This window comes from Homo sapiens, chromosome 3 (genome assembly GCF_000001405.40).
Source record: "Homo sapiens chromosome 3, GRCh38.p14 Primary Assembly".
Classification (NCBI taxonomy): Eukaryota; Metazoa; Chordata; class Mammalia; order Primates; family Hominidae; genus Homo; species Homo sapiens.
This window is the reverse complement of record NC_000003.12, coordinates 41,614,903-41,634,272: the sequence shown is the minus strand read 5'-3', so window position 1 is coordinate 41,634,272 and position 19,370 is coordinate 41,614,903. Positions and strand designations below refer to the sequence as shown.

The 19,370-nt window shown below is 39.2% G+C and overlaps 1 protein-coding gene across 6 annotated transcripts in view, besides 1 other annotated feature; it reads left to right on the top strand.

Moving 5' to 3' along the window:
* Window positions 1-19,370, top strand: part of ULK4 (unc-51 like kinase 4) — a 715,505-nt gene that overhangs the window by 327,831 nt on the left and 368,304 nt on the right. For all 6 annotated transcript variants that reach the window (NR_136342.2, NM_001322501.2, NM_017886.4 and 3 more), the window contains one exon: window positions 18,556-18,604. Coding sequence is in view for 5 of the 6 variants with exons in the window: in NM_001322501.2 (NP_001309430.1) it covers window positions 18,556-18,604 (49 nt within the window). In the remaining variant the exon portion in view is untranslated. The remainder of the gene's footprint in view (window positions 1-18,555; window positions 18,605-19,370) is intronic.
* Window positions 4,743-5,244: an enhancer, noted in NCBI's record as "NANOG hESC enhancer chr3:41670520-41671021 (GRCh37/hg19 assembly coordinates)". NCBI's record gives its function as "activates a minimal SCP1, AML or CMV promoter by ChIP-STARR-seq in primed H9 embryonic stem cells {active_cell/tissue: H9 hESC(primed)}" and the evidence as "EXISTENCE:reporter gene assay evidence [ECO:0000049][PMID:30033119]".

Sequence of the window (19,370 nt, the reverse complement as noted above, 5' to 3'; positions counted from 1 at the left end):
GGTCAGGCAATCATAAACTGGACATGGGTCAGGCAAAAGCACAAGGACATCTGCCAGTATAAGCAAGTTCCCCATGTGAAGGATCCCTGGTAATGGGTCAGAAAATTAGGCATTAGGCCATCCATCAGGTGAAAGAAGGATCCCATGAAAGGCACAGTGTAAACAGCCACATCCCAGCTCCCTTTCATTTCCTGTTAGGGCAGGGTTGCTAGTGACTCTGGCATTGGAACATCGATTTTGCTGGGGGCTTTCAGACCACCTGGGTAAGGTTCAGTGCTGGTTTTCTCTATTGTAGAATGAGGTTAATGATTACTACCTCACAATAAGGATCAAGTGAGAGGTAAAGCACTAAGCACTGTGCATCATTGCACAGGGAGCTCCAATAAATGACATTGCGTGGTGTGCTGTTTATTGCTCTGGGTGGTGGTCATGGTAGTGGCCTCCTGGTAGGACAAATCAAGTACCTGGAGTCATTTTAGATCTCTTCTCTCCCCTCATGCATTCAGTAGATTATCAAGTCCTATTGATATGACTTCATTAATACCCCTCATCATTGCTTTTTCCTATGGATTCCTGCTTTGATCATCTTGAGATTAGTCATAATCTGCTAACTGATCATGTTCCCAGTCCTTTTTCATTTTCAGTTTATTCTCCTTATTGTTGCCTGAATAATCTTTGCAAAAAATATAAATCTGGTAATGACATTGCTTTACTTAATCTTACCCTTAATGGCACCCAGCCACCTAGAGAAAGGCTCAGCAGACCTTTTCTGTAAATGGCTAGATAGTAAATATTTTAGGTCTTGCAGGCCATATGGTCTCTGTTACAGCTACTTAACTCTGCCATTATATCATAAAAGCAAACGCAGACAGTATGTAAATGAATACACAGGATTGTGTTCCAAAAAAATTTTACTAATGGAAACTGAAAGTTGAATTTCATACAGTTTTCATATATCATGAAATATTCTTCTCTTGATTGATTCAACCATTGAAAAAACCCACTAACTGTTCTTGGCTTATGGACTATGCAGATATAGGTGGCTGGCAGAGTTGGCCTGTGGGCTGTAGTTTGCCAGCCCTGACCTGAAGGATAATGTTCAAGCAACTCAGCATGACTAACATGATCTTCTGTGATCCGCTGTGGCTTACTCTTCTAGCTGGATCTTTCGCTACCTTCTTTTTGCCTCTTCCACTTATGTAATAAACTTGCTCTTTCACTTAAACCTTTCACTGCCTTTAATGGACCATCCTGTTTTTGGCTGTCATGCTATTCCCTTTGCCCAGGACACACTTCATCTCTATCTGTCCACCCTTCCCTCATGCACTTTCCTCCACCTGCTGTCAGAAACCTGCTCCTTTGCTGAACCTCAGGCTGTACCTACCCTGTAGAATGTGGACTCTGATCTCAGCTGCCTAGGTTTATATCTCAGCCCCTCTACTTGCCACTTAACTGGTTTACTTAAGTTCTTTCTGCCTTAATTTGTCATCTGAAGTAAAAAGATAGTAATGTCTAACTATGAGGTTTTTTTTTTTTTGTTAGAATCCAGTGAGTTAGCACATACACAGCATTTGTTACTGTGAGTTCCAGATAGTAACTGTGCAATCCATGTTTACTGCTATTGTCATTACGGGTTGCACTGTGAAGCCTTTGCAATGCTCTTCAGATAGAAAAGGTTATTCTGTTGTCTCTTCTGTACCTTTATAGATCTTTATCTTTATGTATCTATCCTAGCATTTATGATACCTGCTGCAGCTCTCATTTGGCCCAGTGCATGGCACATAAAAGATACCAAACAAATGTTTATCAAGTGAATGAAGACAGAGAAATCTTAGCTTGATTTCAGGTAGATTCCAAAACAAAAAATCTCTTGTATTCCATTAAGTTATCCGGACCAAAAAAATTACTTTAGGAAGTAAGCATGTTCATTAAATGGAAAATAATTTTAAAAAATATGGAATTTCTGTTTTTTATTATTGGGTTCGTATCTGTAGGAGAAAAGAAATGCTGGTACAATCTAGTGGTCCTCTTAGGGACTTGCCTTTGGTCTCTGCCACTGTCAATTCTTTCTCTTACTGATACTGCCTCTTCCTGTTCACTCCCCTTCCAGCTCTGGTGCAAGGATGTGCATACCTCTTACATGTGAGCATGCTTCTTACATGTGGTTTCAAACTGGGAAGCTGTGGGATGAATACAGAATCATGTCTTGGGGAGAATGCCAAAGATTCAAAGAATCATTAGAGAAAGGTGGCCAGCTGCAGAGCGACGAGGTTCAGAGAGAGAGTGAAGGCTCAGGACCCAGAAAGAATGGAAAGCACTGGACAGAATGTGGGAGTGAGAGGCCAAAGCCCTCAGCTGGGTAGCAGGAGCATTACAGACCATGATGTAGGGACAATTTCTGTAAAGCCCTGGACGAAACAGGACTTGCAACCACATCATAGCAACCAGGGTTGGAAGGAGTCAGAGGTGCTTCATAAAAGAGTCCTGCACACTGTATGGAGATCCTCTTGACTTCAGCTTTCCCATTTCTCCTTTTGTACTCTCTGTGGTCGAAACACTCCATGGCCTTATTTTGTTCAACAGGTGTGGAATATTACAGGGCTGTATTGGACATCTATTGAGGTAATAAGCGTAAAAGCATTTTACAAAGTTATTAATGCAACATAAAACTATTCTGTTTACATTTAAAATCTCCATTCTGTTGGAAAGTATTTGCTTTTAACCTAACCGAAATTGTCTTACTAAAATCCATATTTTTAATGCTGGTAGGCAATGGATGATTTCCCTAAATCAGAGATATATTACTAGTATAGCTGCATATTCTAACTTAATTCTAAGACTTTCTCAGTAAATTAAGCAGTCAGTCTTATAACTTGGATTAAGTTATTTTTATGTACGTTTTGTGCCTACTGGAGTATAAACTTCCTTAGGGAAAAAGTGTAATGCCTGTCCATAAGGAGGACGCTGTAGATCTTTGTAAAATGACCAGTTCTAAAATTTATTTATACTAACGCTGCTGAAATCTCAACCCTGCCCTCCTTTTTTTGTGTGAAAAATAACTCCCTATATATGTACCTTAATGGTAAGACTTCTGCCAGTTCTCTGCAGAATTAGCAAGAATTGCAGGCAAGGACAAACATTTCAAGGAGAAATGTTACAAATGTTATTGCTTTCAGGGTAGACATAATATCATACCATAGCTAAACATTATGAAACTGTTTCTTTTTGAAGCTGATTCACTGATCCAAAAATTTGAAATTCAGCTTGATGTTAGAGATTTTCAATTTAAAATGACTGTCCTTGGTCCACTAGACTGGTAAATTATGTAAACAAAAAAGCTTTGCTTGTAGTCTAGTGCTCAGTCAGTTGCTGAGCAAATATGAAATCTAAACCTCCTAACTAGCATTGTTGGAAAGCTAAACAAAGCCCAGCTTCTATTTTGGTTGGTACACAAGTAGGCCAGAAGCAGCTTATTCAGAGAACCAAATATGCATTACTTTTAAGAAAGGAGGCAGGGGGAAGGGAACTGGGACCAGGGGCAAGTTCAGGCTCTGGTAGGCAGAACTGCAAGATGGCCTTGGAGATTTCCAGCCACTGGTGTATCTATAGCAACTTCCAGTCAATTAAACACTAATTTAGTGCTGTTATGAGGGATATTGCAGATGTAATTAAGGTTGCAAATTAATTGACCTTAAAATATGGAGATTATCTGGGTGGGCCTGACCAATCGTAAGAGCCCTTTAAATGTGGTCTAGAGGTCAGAGACAGAGAAGTCCAAGAGATTTGAGGCTTGAGAAGGATTTGACGTGGAGGAGATCCTCACTCGCTGGTTTAGAGAAGGAGAGGGCCACATAGTAAGGGATATGTGTGGCTCTACGAGCTGAGAGAGATCCCTAGCTGGCAGCAGCAAGGAAATGAGGACTTCAGCCCTACAACTGCAAGGAACTGAATTCTGCCAACAATAAGAATGAGTTTGAAAATGTATCCCCTCCACCTCCAGCCTCCAGACTGGAACTTAGCCCAGCTGACACAATGATTCCAGCTTTGTGGTATCCTGATATGGTTAACCAGCCATGCTGAGATGGACTTCTGACCTGTAGGACATTGGAGTAATAAATGGGTATTGCCTTAAGCTGCTGTGTTTGTGGGAATTTGTTAGGCAGCAATAGAAAACTAATACAAGGCCCCATTGGTGTCCCCCTTAGATTGCTGTAGTGGCCTATTAACAGGTCTCTCTGGTTACGTAGGCTAGTGCTACTCAGACTGGTGAGGAAGCAGTTATTTATTTATTTGAGACATTGAGCAGTGGCATTATCACAACTTACTGACTTACTGCAACTTTGACCTCCCTGGGCTCAGGTGATCCTTCTACCTCAGCCTCCTGAGTAGCTGGAATTACAGGCACCCACCACTATGCCTGGCTAATTTTTATATTTTTTTTTTTTATAGAGACCAGCTTTCTCCATGTTGCCCAGGCTGGTCTCAAACTCTTGGTGCTCAAGTGATCTGCCCACCTTGGCCTCCCACAGAGCTGGGATTATAGGCATGTGCCACCATGCCCGGCCAAAGAAGCAGTTTTAAATTTTTCTATTTGTTGCAGACTCATACTGTAGTAGATCATATTTTACAAAAATGTCTGTAATAATATTTCCCATTCCACATGCCCTTCTGTATTGTAGCTGTGCCATACTCCATCAAGAGGTGGAGTCTAGTTGCACTCCATTTGAATCTGGACTGCCTTCATAACTTGCGCATGCCCACTTAGAACACAATAGAAGTGATGTTATGACCTCCAAAGCTAGGTTAGAAAAGCCATCTGGTTCTCTTTGAAAGCCTACTCCTTGGATGCTTCCTCTTGGCACCCAGCTATCATGCAGAGAGAGGCCAAGCTGCATGGAGAATGCAGCTATAGATAGATGCTCCAGTCAACAGAATTAACTGAGCCTTCCTTGAATCATCCCAGCCCAGGTGCCAGAAGTGTGAGTGAGGAAACCTTCAGGTGATCACAACCCCCAGCTGTTCCCATCCCCCACAGCTTTTGTGTCTTCCCAGCTGAGGCCGCAAACGTCATGAAACAAAGACGAGTCATCCCCACTGTGTCCTGCCGAAATTCATGACCCACAGAATCCATGAACTTCATAAAATGGTTATTGCTTTATGCCACTAAGTTTGGAGTAGCTAGTTATGCAGCAAAAGGTAACTAGAATATTTTTATAAAACACTATAAAGATGAAATTCAAAAAAGACACACAGAATATAGGCACATAGAAAGTGTCACTTCTATGCCACTTTCTTGGTCAAAGCAGTCCTAAACTTGCCCAGACTCACAGGAAGAAGACACAAATCCTTCTTCTGAGAGAAGAGTCAAATAAATCAGAAGTCATTTTAAAAAACTTTTAAACTTTCAAATAATTTTAACCTTACAGAGTCAAAGTAGTACAAAGAATTTCCATGTGTCCTTCAGCCAGCTTTCACTACTGTTAACATGTTACATAGCCATAGAACGGTTATCAGTTATCAAAATCAGGAAATTAACATTGATATACTGTTAACCGAACTGTAGATCATACTCCAGTTTCACCCATTTTCCAAATGATATACTTTTTCTGGTTCAGGATTTAATCTAGGATCCCACATTACATTTGTTTCTCTGTCTCCTTAGTCTGGAACAGTTCCTCAGCCTTTTCTTGTCTTTCATAACCATAATACGTTTTTGTGTACTAGGTAGTTACTTTGTAAGATGCTCCTCCATTTAAGTTTGTCTCATGTTTTTCCGTGATTAGATTGAGGTCATGCATTTTTGGCAAGAATAACATGGAAGTGATGCTGTCCCCTCCTCAGTGCATCATATTGGAGTGTATACCATGGGGATATGTCTTATGACTGTGATGTGAAACTTGCTCCCTTTGTGGTGTTTGCCAGGTTTCTCAGATATTATAAATATCTTATGGGGAGGTACTGTATAAATATCCTGTTTTTTATATTTTGGTGGGGCCATATTTTAAAACTGTCACAAACTTCAAATTTTTTATCATTAGAGCCAACAGAAATAAACTATCTTTCAGATTTCTGTAGTTATCTTGTCATAGACCTGTGACAGTTTGTAGGCTATCTTTGGTCTGCAGACCACACTTTGATTAGCAGTGTTCTAGACTACACTTCTTCCAGTTCATTTTTCCTGTTACAATCAGATTGGAGTTTGAACAGCAAATCTTTCTGTGTCATTTTGCTTAAAATCCTTGGAGGTTACCCATAACCTTTAGGGTAAAACCCAAACTTCTTAGCATTTCTTAGCATGGCATTCAAGGCTGTATCATTCTGTTCCATCTGTCACACTGACCTTTTACAATGCTCTCCTGGTAGTCCTCCTTACCCTCCTCTATCATGCCTGCCCCTCCCCACATCATAACTGGCCAATTCCTACAGTCTTTCAAGGCTCACGAACACCTCCTCTCACCAGTTTGGGCTAGCTAGGTTTTCTTCGTGTCTGTTCCCTTACATCCTGTGCATACATGCATATCTGTGATAGAAGTTAATTCTACTTTTATATTTGTTTGTATATCTGTTAACCTGCTTGACTCTGGAGTTTGAGGGCATGGACTTTGAGTTTATAAGATTAGCCCATGGCAAGAGCTCAGTAATGTTAATCATAAATTAAATACTGAGGTAGTTGCCAGAAAATCAAGTCTGTATCTAAGTAAGAACTGCATGACAAGGTGGATGCCCGAAAGGCAGAGAGCGTAGATGGAGATGGAGAATCCCTTTGGAGATGACAGTGTGTCCTTGCCGGATGGGGGCTCAAAGACAGTGGATCGGGACTTACGCCTCTTGTGTCATGTGTCTTGCTTCATGTGTCTTGTCTACTCTTTTTATGAGTAGATAAAAACTGCAAGCAAGCAAGGGAACCTAAGATGGGGCAGCTCCATGGACCAACCCAGTGATCTCCATGGACCTGTCCTGTCATTCTTGGGGGAGCTAATGTCTTTGTCCTGCAAAACTGAGCTCAGAACAGGCAGAGATTCTTTCCCTTCTTTATTTACCTCTCCCTTCTCCTGATTCCTCTGCTCTCTGAATAAATAGGACTAAGGTGGGGGTAGGACAGAGAGACTTCATTCCTCTTAATTTTATTCTTGGTTCATCCCTACATGGCCTTGAGGCAAAAGTTTTAAATTTTAAAGGAAAGTTAGAAAATGTTAATAATGGTGTGAAATTTAGCTCAACCCACTTCTTTATCTCTCTGAATATAAATGAAGTTAATCTCCTTATTCCTACTTTTCCTAAATTGCAGCTAGTAATTTATATCTAAATATTATCAGATTTACTTTATATTTAGCCTTTGTTTTCAATGGACATGAAATACAGCTGTGCCAGAAAATAGAGAAAGACCAAGGCCACCATATTCCATAGGCCACTGCTATGACTTTACCTCAAAAGCAAGTGTACTTTTGGCCAGGCACGGTGGCTCACGCTTATAATCCCAGCACTTTGGGAGGCCGAGGCGGGTGGATCACGAGGTTAGGAGATCGAGACCATCCTGGCTAACATGGTGAAACCCCGTCTCTACTAAAAGTACAAAAAAAATTAGCCGGACATGGTGGCGGGCGCCTGTAGTCCTAGCTACTCGGGTGGCTGAGGCAGGAGAATGGCGTGAACCTGGGAGCAGAGCTTGCAGTGAGCTGAGATTGCACCACTGCACTCCAGCCTGGGTGACAGCGAGACTCCATCTCAAAAAAAAAAAAAAAAGCAATGTACTTTCTTACATGAAAAGTATTGACTCATTCTTTAAAATTTGCATTTTAATTATTTAATAATCACAGCACATTTCGTGACAAAATCATCTTAAGATCAATTTGTGCTTGTAGCTTCCATAGATGAATCTCAACTAAATAATTATCCTAATTTAAATACATAGTTTATTTAAATAGTACTTAAATACATGACATTTAAAATATTGTGTATTGACACTTGGACTATCAAACATTAATAAATAAATTAAAAAATTTTTTTCCAACATTAAGGGTAACATTTAGGCACAGGAGGGAGTTAGAGTGTGAAATAATGTATTCTTAAAGGTTTTATAAGTTTATTCCAAACTTGGTAATTGAAACACTACCTCCTTTGTTAATAATATAAACCACAGATATACAAAATGGTTTCTGAACCCAAACTTTGTAAGGGAGACTCTTTAACCACATGAAATCTGTCATTAAATGGCACCATTAAAGGGGAAACAAACCAACCAACCCCAGGGTAAAGTGGTCCTGGAAACTGCATTTGGGAAGTGCAGTATATTTTAGTTTACCCATCTGGAGTTACTTAAACACAGTGTGCTTAGCTGGCTAAAATAAAGGAAGAAAAGTATACTGTAACATAGTTAATATGTTGAGAATCCTTTGAAGATCAGGGATAATTTCAAAAAGGTCTTCATTTTGTTTGGTTTTGGTTTAAAAAAATTTAGGTAAATCTCTTCACTTCTTGTCCTTCAGGCTGTCTGTAAATTATAGACATTTCATTCTTTTCGGATTTAGGATATAACAAGCCCATGTAGTAAAATGACAGATGATTTAAGTCATGGTGGCCAACCACAACAGAGCCCGATAGTGAAAGAGTCTTTTGCGTCATTATTTTGTAAGATCTGCTATGATTATTGAATACTTGTTGTCTGATAATTCTCTAGAAATCAGCAACATCAACTTTTTTTTAGTGGTAAGCCTCATCCTCCTTGGCCTCTGCGAGGCCTGAGCACCGGAGCTGCTCTCCAAAGTACTGCATCAAATGAAGGGTGCGCTGAGTAGATGGCGCCACAATTCAGAGTGCGTTGGGGTTTGATCACTGTCTCCACCAATTGGACCTATGCTTGTGTGAGAGGAGATGCTTAAAGTAAGGAGACCGATTTTTTAAAACCACATTTTAAGAAATTACTGAAAAACAAATGAATATTGTCTCTAAAGCAATCTCCTTAAATCCGTGGATATCAGATATTTTATCAAAAGTTATTCAATTCATGGTTTAAAAAAAGAAAAGCATTTTATGCTACCACTCAGTACATTACAGAACAATACTATGTGCGATACCCTTGGATATTCTGTTTTATTCTTTTAATTAAAAACATGCTAGTCAATACCCAGTAAACTAATCTCATTGTCCACTTATTGATCACCTCTCACAATTTAGAAAAATTCTGCCTTAGAGAATTGTAAATGTTTGCAGCCACCCTTCTTCCTTACTTGCTTTAACATCCGTCAGTTGAAATTACATTTGAGGTGAGTTCATAAGTCATAGAAAACAATACAGAAATTTTTTTTAACAGAGATTTACCAAAGACTGAAGCACTTAGAAAGTCCACCTTGATGTCTAGCAAAAAAAAATGTGATTACTATTCATTGCAGCATTATCCATAATAGACAAGATACGGAAACAACCTAAATGACCATCACTGGATGAATGAATAGAAAAAAACGCAGCATATGTACACAATGGAATACTCATCAGCCTTAAAGAAACAAGAAACTCTCATTTGTGACGATAAGGATGAATTATCGTCCTTATTAGGCTTACCACTAAAAAAAATTACTTAGCTTGAATTCTCTTTTTATTTACCCAGGAATAATTTATGTAGCTCTAAATTATGTTTAGAGCTACATAATTAGTCAAATCAAAGAACAAAAATTGTTATGGTATATTGTATTCAGAAGAATGTGAGAATGGAATGTTAGCATTTATAGTCAAAGAGACTTAAGAGGTAATCCAGGCCAGCGTGCGCATCATGCAGAGACCTGGAGAAGAACTAGCTGCAGTTCTTAAGAAGGAATTAAGATAGTTTTGTGTGGTTATGCCTTAGTAGAATATAGTTTAAAATACTACCGTTAAAGGGCCGGTGTTGTGAGTGATGCTCTGGATCGTCCAGGTACCATTGGAGAAGTCGTGGCATTTATGTTCTTCTGACTTCATTGGCCTCGGTTGCCAGGGCAACTCTGAGATGTATGTGCTTGGTTATTTTAGCCCAGGCCTAATAATAGTATAAATCATAAAAACTTAAGAAGACAAATTTAAGGAAACTGAGGAAGAAGACTGTGAATGTGCTGGACCTGAAGTTGTTCGTGGTTTTGAGTCTGCGTGTTTCCTGTCCTACCTAGGCATGATGTAAGGAGCCTCAGCCTCACGTCTGAGCCTTCATTCAATTGCCCAGGAAAGAGAGAAAATATAAATGAACTTAACATTTGTCACCAAAACTGTTTTCATTGAAACTACAGAAGTGATCACATCTATTTATTTTTAAACTTTATCAACATTATTTATTTAAAATTATTTTTAACTGACAATTATAATTGTGTATTTGTGGCATAGAGTGTAATGTTATGATATGTGTATACTTTGTGGAGTGAGTAAATCAGACTAATTAACATGTCCATCACTTCACGTGCTATCATTTCTTTGTGGTGGGAACACTTAAAATCTACTCTTGTAATAATTTTGAAATACATACTACATTATTATTAACTAACTTATTTCTCCTGTCTAACTTAACTTTATACCCTTTGATTTATATCTTTCCTTTTCTTGTCCACACCTTCCCACTCTGGTAACCACCATTCTACCCTCTACTTCTCTTGAGTTTGACTTTTTTAGAGTCTACATATAAGTGAAATCATGTAGTATTTGTTTTTCTGTGCTTGACTTATTTCACTTAGGATAATTCATCCTTATCGTCACAAATGAGAGTTTCTTGTTTCTTTAAGGCTGATGAGTATTCCATTGTGTACATATGCTGCATTTTTTTCTATTCATTCACCCAGTGATGGTCATTTAGGTTGTTTCCGTATCTTGTCTATTATGGATAATGCTGCAATGAATAGTAATCACATTTTTTTTTGCTAGACATCAAGGTGGACTTTCTAAGTGCTTCAGTCTTTGGTAAATCTCTGTATCTCATTTTCCCTTCACAAGTGTATGTAAACACTGTGATCTTTTTTGGTTAGTCTCATAGGCTTTTCTTTTATCAGTGTGTTATCATAGACAAATAAGCTCCTGGGAGGCCAGATGTTAAAATTCCCTTTCTATCCGTGAGCATTTAATCATACTATTAAATATCTGGTGTTTTCTGTGAAATAGACAAACTACACATACCTACAACATATGTAACATGTTTGTCTTAAGCTCTGTAATTTATCATACAAAATTCTAATAAAATAGTAGAAAGGAATATGATTTTATTTTATTTTTTGGACTGAAGCGGTAACCTGCAAACTGTAGCTTTCCCCTAAACATGGCCCACTGCCTGTTGTTTATAAATAAAGTTTTATTGGAACACACCCATGTTTATTTCTTTCTATATTCTTTATGGCTGCTTTTACTTTATGATGACAGAGTTGAGTAGTTGCTATAGAGACAATGTGGCCTGCAAAGCCTGAAATATTTGGGCTATTAGCTATTTGGACTGTTACGGAAAAAATCTTTTCTGAACCCTGGACTAAAAGAGTATTTAGAGATTCAAATATTGTTCTTTTTTAAATTTTAAGTTTGGGGGTACATGTGCAGAACATGCAAGTTTGTTACATAGGTATACATGTACCATGGTGGTTTGCTACACCTATCAACCCATCATCTCGGTTTTAAGCTCTGCATGCATTAGGTATTTGTCCTAATGTTCTCCCTCCCCTTTCCCTCCACTCCCCGACAGGCCCTGGTGTATGATGTTCCCCTCCTTGTGTCCATGTGTGTGTTCTCATTGTTTAACTTCCATTTATGAGTGAGAACATGCAGCGTTTAGTTTTCTGTTCCTGTGTTAGTTTGCTGAGAATGATGGTTTCCAGCTTCATGTCCCTGCAAAGGACACAAACTCCTACTTTTCATGGCTGCATAGCATTCCATGGTGTATATGAGCCACATTTTCTTTATCCAGTCTATCATTGATGGGCATTTGGGTTGGTTTCAAGTCTTTACTATTGTAAATAGTGCTGCAGTAAACATATATGTGCATGTGTCTTTATAGCAGAATGATATACAATCCTTTGGGTATATACCCAAATGGGTCAAATGGTATTTCTGGTTCTAGATCCTTGAGGAATTGCCACACTGTCTTTCTCAATGGTTGAAGTAATTTACACTCCCACCAACAGTGTAAAAGTGTTCCTATTTCTCCACAGCCTTGCCAGTATCTGGTGTTTCCTGACTTTTTAATAATTGCCATTCCAACTGGCTTGAGATGGTATCTCATTGTGATTTTGATTTGCATTTCTCTAAGGACCAGTGATGATGGCTCTTTTTCATATGTTTGTTGGCCACGTAAATGTCTTCTTTTGAGAAGTGTCTGTTCATACCCTTCGCCTTTTCTGTTGGGGTTGTTTGTTTTTTTCTTGTAAATTTGTTTAAGTTCTTTGTAGATTCTGGCTGTTAGACCTATGTCACACAGAAAAATTGCAAAAATTTTCTCCCGTTCTGTTGGTTGCCTTTTCACTCTGATGGTAGTTTCTTTTGCTTTGCAGAGCTCTTTAGTTTGATTAGATCCCATTTGTCAATTTTGGCTTTTGTTGCCATTGCTTTTGGTGTTTTAGTCATTAAGTCTTTGCCCATGCCTATGTCCTGAATGGTATTGCCTGGATTTTCTTCTAGGATTTTTATGGTTTTGGGTTTTACATGTAACTATATAGTCCATCTCGAGTTAATTTTTGTATAAAGTGTAAGGAAGGGGTTCAGTTTCAGTTTTCTGCATGTGGCTAACCAGTTTTCCAAGCACCATTTATTAAATAGGGAATCCTTTCCCCATTTTTGTTTTTGTCAGGTTTGTTGAAGATCAGATGGTTGTAGATGGGTGATGTTATTTCTGAGGTCTCTGTTCTGTTCCATTGGTTTATATATCTGTTTTGGTACCAGCACCATGCTGTTTTGGTTACTGAAGCCTTTTAGTATAGTTTGAAGTCAGATAGCATGATGCCTCCAGCTTTGTTCTTTTTGCTTAGGATTGTCTTGGCTCTACAGGCTCTTTTTTGGTTCCATATGACATTTAAAATGGTTTTTTCTAATTCCATGAAGAAAGTCAATGGTAGCTTGATAGGAATAATATTGAATCTATAAGTTACTTTGGGCAGTATGGCCATTTTCATGATATTGATTCTTCCTATCCATGAGCATGGAATGATTTTCCATTTGTTTGTGTCCTCTCTTATTTTCTTGAGCAGTGGTTTGTAGTTCTCCTTGAAGAGGTCCTTCACATCCCTTGTAAGTTGTATTTCTAAGTATTTTATTCTCTTTGTAGCAATTGTGAATGAGAGTTCATTCATGATTTGGCTCTCTGCTTGTCTTTGTTAGTGTATGGGAATGCTTGTGACTTTTGCACATTAATTTTATATCCTGAGACTTTGCTGAAGTTGCTATCAGCTTAAGGAACTTTTGGGCTGAGATGATGGGGTTTTCTAAATATATAAAAATGTCATCTGCAAACAGAGACAATTTGACTTCCTCTCTTCCTATTTGAATACCCTTTATTTCTTTCTCTTGCCTGATTGCCCCAGCCAGAACTTCCAATACTATGTTGAATAGGAGTGGTGAGAGAGGGCATCCTTGTCTTGTGCCGGTTTTCAAAGGGAATGCTTCCAGCTTTTACCCATTCAATATTATATTGGCTATAGGTTTGTCATACATAGCGCTTATTATTTTGACATATGTTCCATCAATACCTAGTTTATTGAGAGTTTTTAGCATGAAGGGATGTTGAATCTTACTGAAGGCCTTTTCTGCATCTATTGAGATAATCATGTGGTTTTGTCATTTGTTATTTTTATATGATGGATTACATTTATTGATTTGCGTATGTTGAACCAGCCTTGCATCCCAGGGATGAAGCCAACTTGATCGTGGTGGATAAGCTTTTTGATGTGCTGCTGGGTTCAGTTTGCCAGTATTTTATTGAGGATTTTCACATTGATGTTCATCAGGGATATTGACCTGAAATTTTTTGTTGTTGTTTTTGTTGTGTCTCTGCCAGGTTTTGGTATCAGGATGATGCTAGCCTCATAAAATGAGTTAGGGAGAAGTCCTTTTTCTGTTGTTTGAAATGGTTCCAGAAGGAATGGTACCAGCTCCTCTTTGTACCTCTGGTAGAATTCGGCTGTGAATTTGTCTGGTCCTGGGCTCTTTTTGGCCAGTAGGTTATTAAATACTCCCTCAATTTCAGATCTTCTTATTGGTCTATTCAGGGATTCGAGTTCTTCATGGTTTAGTCTTGGGAGGGTGTATGTGCGCAGGAATTTATCCATTTCTTCTAGATTTTCTAGTTTATTTGCATAGAGGTTTTTGTAGTATTCTCTGATGGTAGTTTGTATTTCTGTGAGATCAGTGGTGATGTCCCTTGTATCATTTTTTGTTGTGTCTATTTGATTCTTCTCTCTTTTTATTAGTCTAGCTAGTGTTCCATCTGTTTTGTTAATCTTTTCTAAAAACCAGCTCCTGGATTAATTGATTATTTTGAAGGGTTTTTCGTGTCTCCATCTCTTTCAGTTCTGCTCTGATCTTAGTTATTTCTTGTCATCTCCTAGCTTTTGAATTTGTTTGCTCATGCTTCTCTAGTTTTTTTTAATTATGATGTTAGGGTGTCGATTTTAGATCTTTCCCGTTTTTTTCCTGTGGGCATTTGCTGCTATAAATTTCCCTGTAAGCACTGCTTTAGCTGTGTCCCAGAGATTCTGGTACATTGTGTCTTTGTTTTCATTGGTCTCAAATAACTTTATTTCTGCCTTCATTTCGTTATTTACCCAGTAGTCGTTCAGGAGCAGGTTGTTCAGTTTCCATGTAGTTATGTGGTTTTGAGTGAATTTCTTAATCCTGAATTTGATTGCACTGTGGTCTGAGATACTGTTTGTTATGATTTCCATTCTTTTGCATTTGCTGAGGAGTGTTTACTTCTAATTATGTGGTCAATTTTAAAATACATGCTATGTGGCACTGAGAAGAATGTATAGTCTGTTGATTTGTGGTGGAGAGTTCTGTAGGTATCTATTAGGTCCACTTGGTCCAGAGCTGAGTTCAAGTCCTGAATATCCTTGTTAATTTTTTGTCTCGTTGGTCTAATATTGACAGTGGGGTGTTAAAGTCTCCCACTATTATTATTGGGAGTCTGCTTCTCTTTGTAGGTCTCTAAGAACTTGTTTTATGAATCTGGGTCCTCCTGTATTGGGTGCATATATATTTAGCACAGGTAGCTCTTCTTGTTGCATTGATCCCTTTACCATTATGTAATGCCCTTCTTTGTCTTTTTTGATCTTTGTTGGTTTAAAGTCTATTTTAAATCCTAGAGACTAGGATTGCAACCCCTGCTTTTTTTTTTCTTTTCATTTGCTTGGTAAATATTCCTCCATCCCTTTATTTTGAGGCCATGTTTGTCTTTGCATGTGAGATGGGTCTCCTGAATACAGCACCCCAATGGGTCTTGACTCTTTATCTAATTTGCCAGTCAGTGTTTTTTAATTGGGGCATTGAACCCTTTTACATTTAAGGTTAATATTGTTCCGTGTGAATTTGATCCTGTCATCATGATGCTAGCTGGTTATTTTGCATATTAGTTGATGCAATTTCTTCATAGTGTCATTGGTCTTTATATTTTGGTGTGTTTTTGCAGTGGATGGTACCAGTTTTTCCTTTCCATATTTAGTGCTTCCTTCAGGAGCTCCTGTAAAGCAGGCCTGGTAGTGACAAAATCCCTCAGCATTTGCTCATCTGGAAAGGATTTTATTTCTCCTTCACTTATGGAGCTTAGTTTGGCTGCATATGAAATTCTGGGTTGAAAATTCTTTTCTTTAAGAATGTTGAATGTTGGCCCCCACGCTCTTGTGGCTTATAGTATTTCTGCAGAGAGATCTGCTGTTAGTCTGATGGGCTTCTCTTTGTTGGTAACCTGACCTTTCTCTCTGGCTGCCTTTAACATTTTTTCCTTCATTTCAACCTTGGAGAATCTGACGATTATGTTTCTTGGAGTTGTTCTTCTTGAGGAGTATCTTAGTTGTGTTCTCTGTAGTTCCTGAATTTGAATGTTGGCCTATCTTGCTATGGTGGGGAAGTTCTCCTGGATAATATCCTGAAATATGTTTTTTAACTTTGTTCCATTCTCCCTATCACTTTCAGGTATACCAGTCAATCATAGGTTTGGTCTTTTCACATAGTCCCATATTTCTTGGAGGCTTTGTTCGTTCCTTTTCCTTCTTTTTTCTCTAATCTTTTCTTCATGCCTTATTTCAGTAAATTGATCTTCCATCTCTGATATACTTTCTTCCACTTGATCTATTCAGCTATTGATAGTTGTGTATGCTTCTCAAAGTTCTCGTGCTATGTTTTTCAGCTCCATCAGGTCATTTATGTTTCTCTGTAAACTGCTTATTCTAGTAAGCAGTTCCTGTAACCTTTTATTAAGGTTCTTAACTTCCTTGCATTGGGTTAGAACATGCTGCTTTAGTTCAGAGGAGTTTGTTATCACCCGCCTTCTGAAGCCTACTTCTGTTAATTTGTAAAACTTATTCCCCATCCAGTTTTGTGCCCTTGCTGGAGAGGAGTTGCAATCATTTGGAGGAGAAGAGGCATTCTGGATTTTGAAATTTTCAGCATTTTTGTGCTGACTTTCCCTCATCTTCATGGATTTATCTGCCTTTGATCTTTGAGGCTGATGACCTTTGGATGGGGTTTTTGTGTGGGGGTTTTTTATGTTGATGTTGATGTTGTTGTTTTCTGTTTGTTAGTTTTTCTTCAAACAGTCAGGCCCCTCTTCTGCAGGTCTACTGCAGTTTGCTGGAGGTCCATTCCAGACCCTGTTTGCCTGAGTATCACCAGTGGAGGCTGCAGAACAGCAAAGATTGCTGCCTGCTTATTCCTCAGGAAGCTTTGTCCCAGAGGGGCACCGGCCTGATGCCAGCCAGAGCTCTCCTGTATGAGGTGTCTGTCGACCCCTGTTGGGAGGTTTCTCCCAGTCAGGAGGCTTGGGGTCAGGGACCCACTTGAGGAGGCAGCCTGTCCCTTAGCAGAGCTGGTGCTCTGTGCTGGGAGAATCCGTCTTGTCAAGAGCATCAGCTGTTCTCTTCAGAGCTGGCAGGCAGGAACAATGAAATCTGCTGAATCTGTACCCACAGCTGCCCCTTCCCCCAGGTGGTCTGTCCCAGGGAGATTGGGGTTTTGTCTGTAAGCCCCTGACTTGGGCTGCTACCTTTCCTCAGAGATGCCCTGCCCAGTGAGGAGGAATCTAGAGAAGCAGTCTGGCCACAGCTGCTTTGCCCTGCCCAGGCTTCTTAGCACTGTCAGGGAAAAACCACCTACTAAAGTCTCAGTAATGGCAGATTCCCCTCCGCTACCATGCTAGATCATCCCAGGTCAATTTCAGACTGCTGTGCTGGCAGTGAGAATTTCAAGCCAATGGTTCTTAGCTTGCTGGGCTCCGTGGGAGTGGGACCCATGGAGCAAGACCACTTGACTCCCTGGCTTCAGCCCCCTTCCCTGGGGAGTGAACGGTTCTGTCTAGATGGGGTTCCAGGTGCTGCCGGGTATGAAAAAACACTCCTGCCGCTACTGCTAGCTTGGTGAATGCCCAAACAGCCTCCCAGTTTTGTGCTTGAAACCCAGGACCTTGGTGGCATAGGCACACGAGGGAATCTCCTGATCTGCAGATTGAAAAAACCGTGGGAAAAGCGTAGTAACCAGGCCGGGTAGCACAGTTCCTCACAGCTTTCCTTGGCTTGGGGGAGGGAGGTCCCCAGCCCCTTGCACTTCCCTGGTGAGACGACGCCCCACCCTGCTTCTGCTATCCCTCTGTGGGTTGGACCCAATGCCTAATCAGTCCCAGTGAGATGAACTGGGTACCTCAGTTGGAAATGCAGAAATACCTGCCTTCTGTGTTGGTCTTGCTGGGAGCTGCAGACCAGAGCTGTTTCTATTCGGCCATCTTGGCTCCTCCCTGGATGTCACAAATATTGTTCTTAATCAAAACTGTGACTTTTGAATGATTTAGGTTTTACCAAGGCTGTTTTCTCTTTTATGAAAAAATTCTTCTATTACAATTGATGACAATTGATAACTAGATTTGATGAGGGAAAGTGCCTAGTGTCTACCAGGTGACTGGTGTCTAATTTTTTAAAAATTAAAGATCATTAAAATTCGTCATACATTAATTTCTTAATGCTGAGAATACAGCTAATGAGGCATATATAAAAAATTACAGTGTGTCATTTTATGATTTAACAGTGCAGAGAGGGTTGGTTACATTATTTCAGCTGATATTACCTATTTTGATAGTCTTTATAATAATTGTGAATTTTAATCCCTGCATTAAAAATACCAATCTATTTGAGATTTCACTTGCTACACATCAATAAGGCTAAGCTAGTAGTCACTTGCAAAAAAGCCTCATATTTCTTGTTTAATAGCTATAGTTCAGTGTCTTAAAAAGAATGTTTAATCATACTATTTCTTATCATGGAATTTTAGCAATAAAACATGGGGGCTGAGGTGCTTTATATCAGGCCATCAGTGCAAATATGAATTGTCTAATGTGCACTTATCTTTTTTTCTTGTTTTTAACAGACTTGTGGAAGAAAGCAAACTGATCCCACTCATTTTTGAAGTAACTCTGGTAAGAACGGAAATGTGCATTTGAAATTCAAATGAAATTTTGAAATTGTAAAGATTTTAACCATGTTGTAGGACTGTGTTGCTAACCCTGCCTCTGCCCTGAAGGATTGTACGTCCATCATCATCACACTTAACCTCCTTGGACTTCAGCTTTCTTATCTGTAAAGGAATGTCAAGCTCTGAAATTAATGTAGGGCTACTGGCTAATGACTGCCTTCTTTCCACAAATCTTTTAAATTTTAGCTCTGTTGTATTACACAATATATATTTTCTAACATAGATTACTTTATCTGAGGTTGGTTTGTATAGAGAGGGAAGAATGATTATTGCTACACTTCAGTATGAATTTTCTGGTGCTCAGTATGAAGCCCTCTGACTTTGCAGTTACTGGGTACCAGATCAGCAGTTTTATGCCTGTGGTCAGAAAGTTGTCTTCTTCAGAACCTAGAATAGCTTAGCTTCCATACACCATTTTTCTGTTCACAGAATACAATTTAATTTAAAACCATCTGTTAAAGAAAATCTTTCCTCTGTGTTTCCTGTGTGTAGAGAATAAAATGGGATGCGGGGTCAACTTTCTTTGTCTCTGATAAATCCCTAATTATACCAAATACAGATCTATGAATTAGGCTGAAAATTGAGTTGGTGCTTGCAAGCAAGTGCCCATTGCCAAAGAAAGGTTCTCTTGTGCCTGGGTATGTTATTCTCTTTTCCTAAGTACTTTACCTCCCTAGCTCAGTAACAGCACAAGGCACAACAGAGGGGGC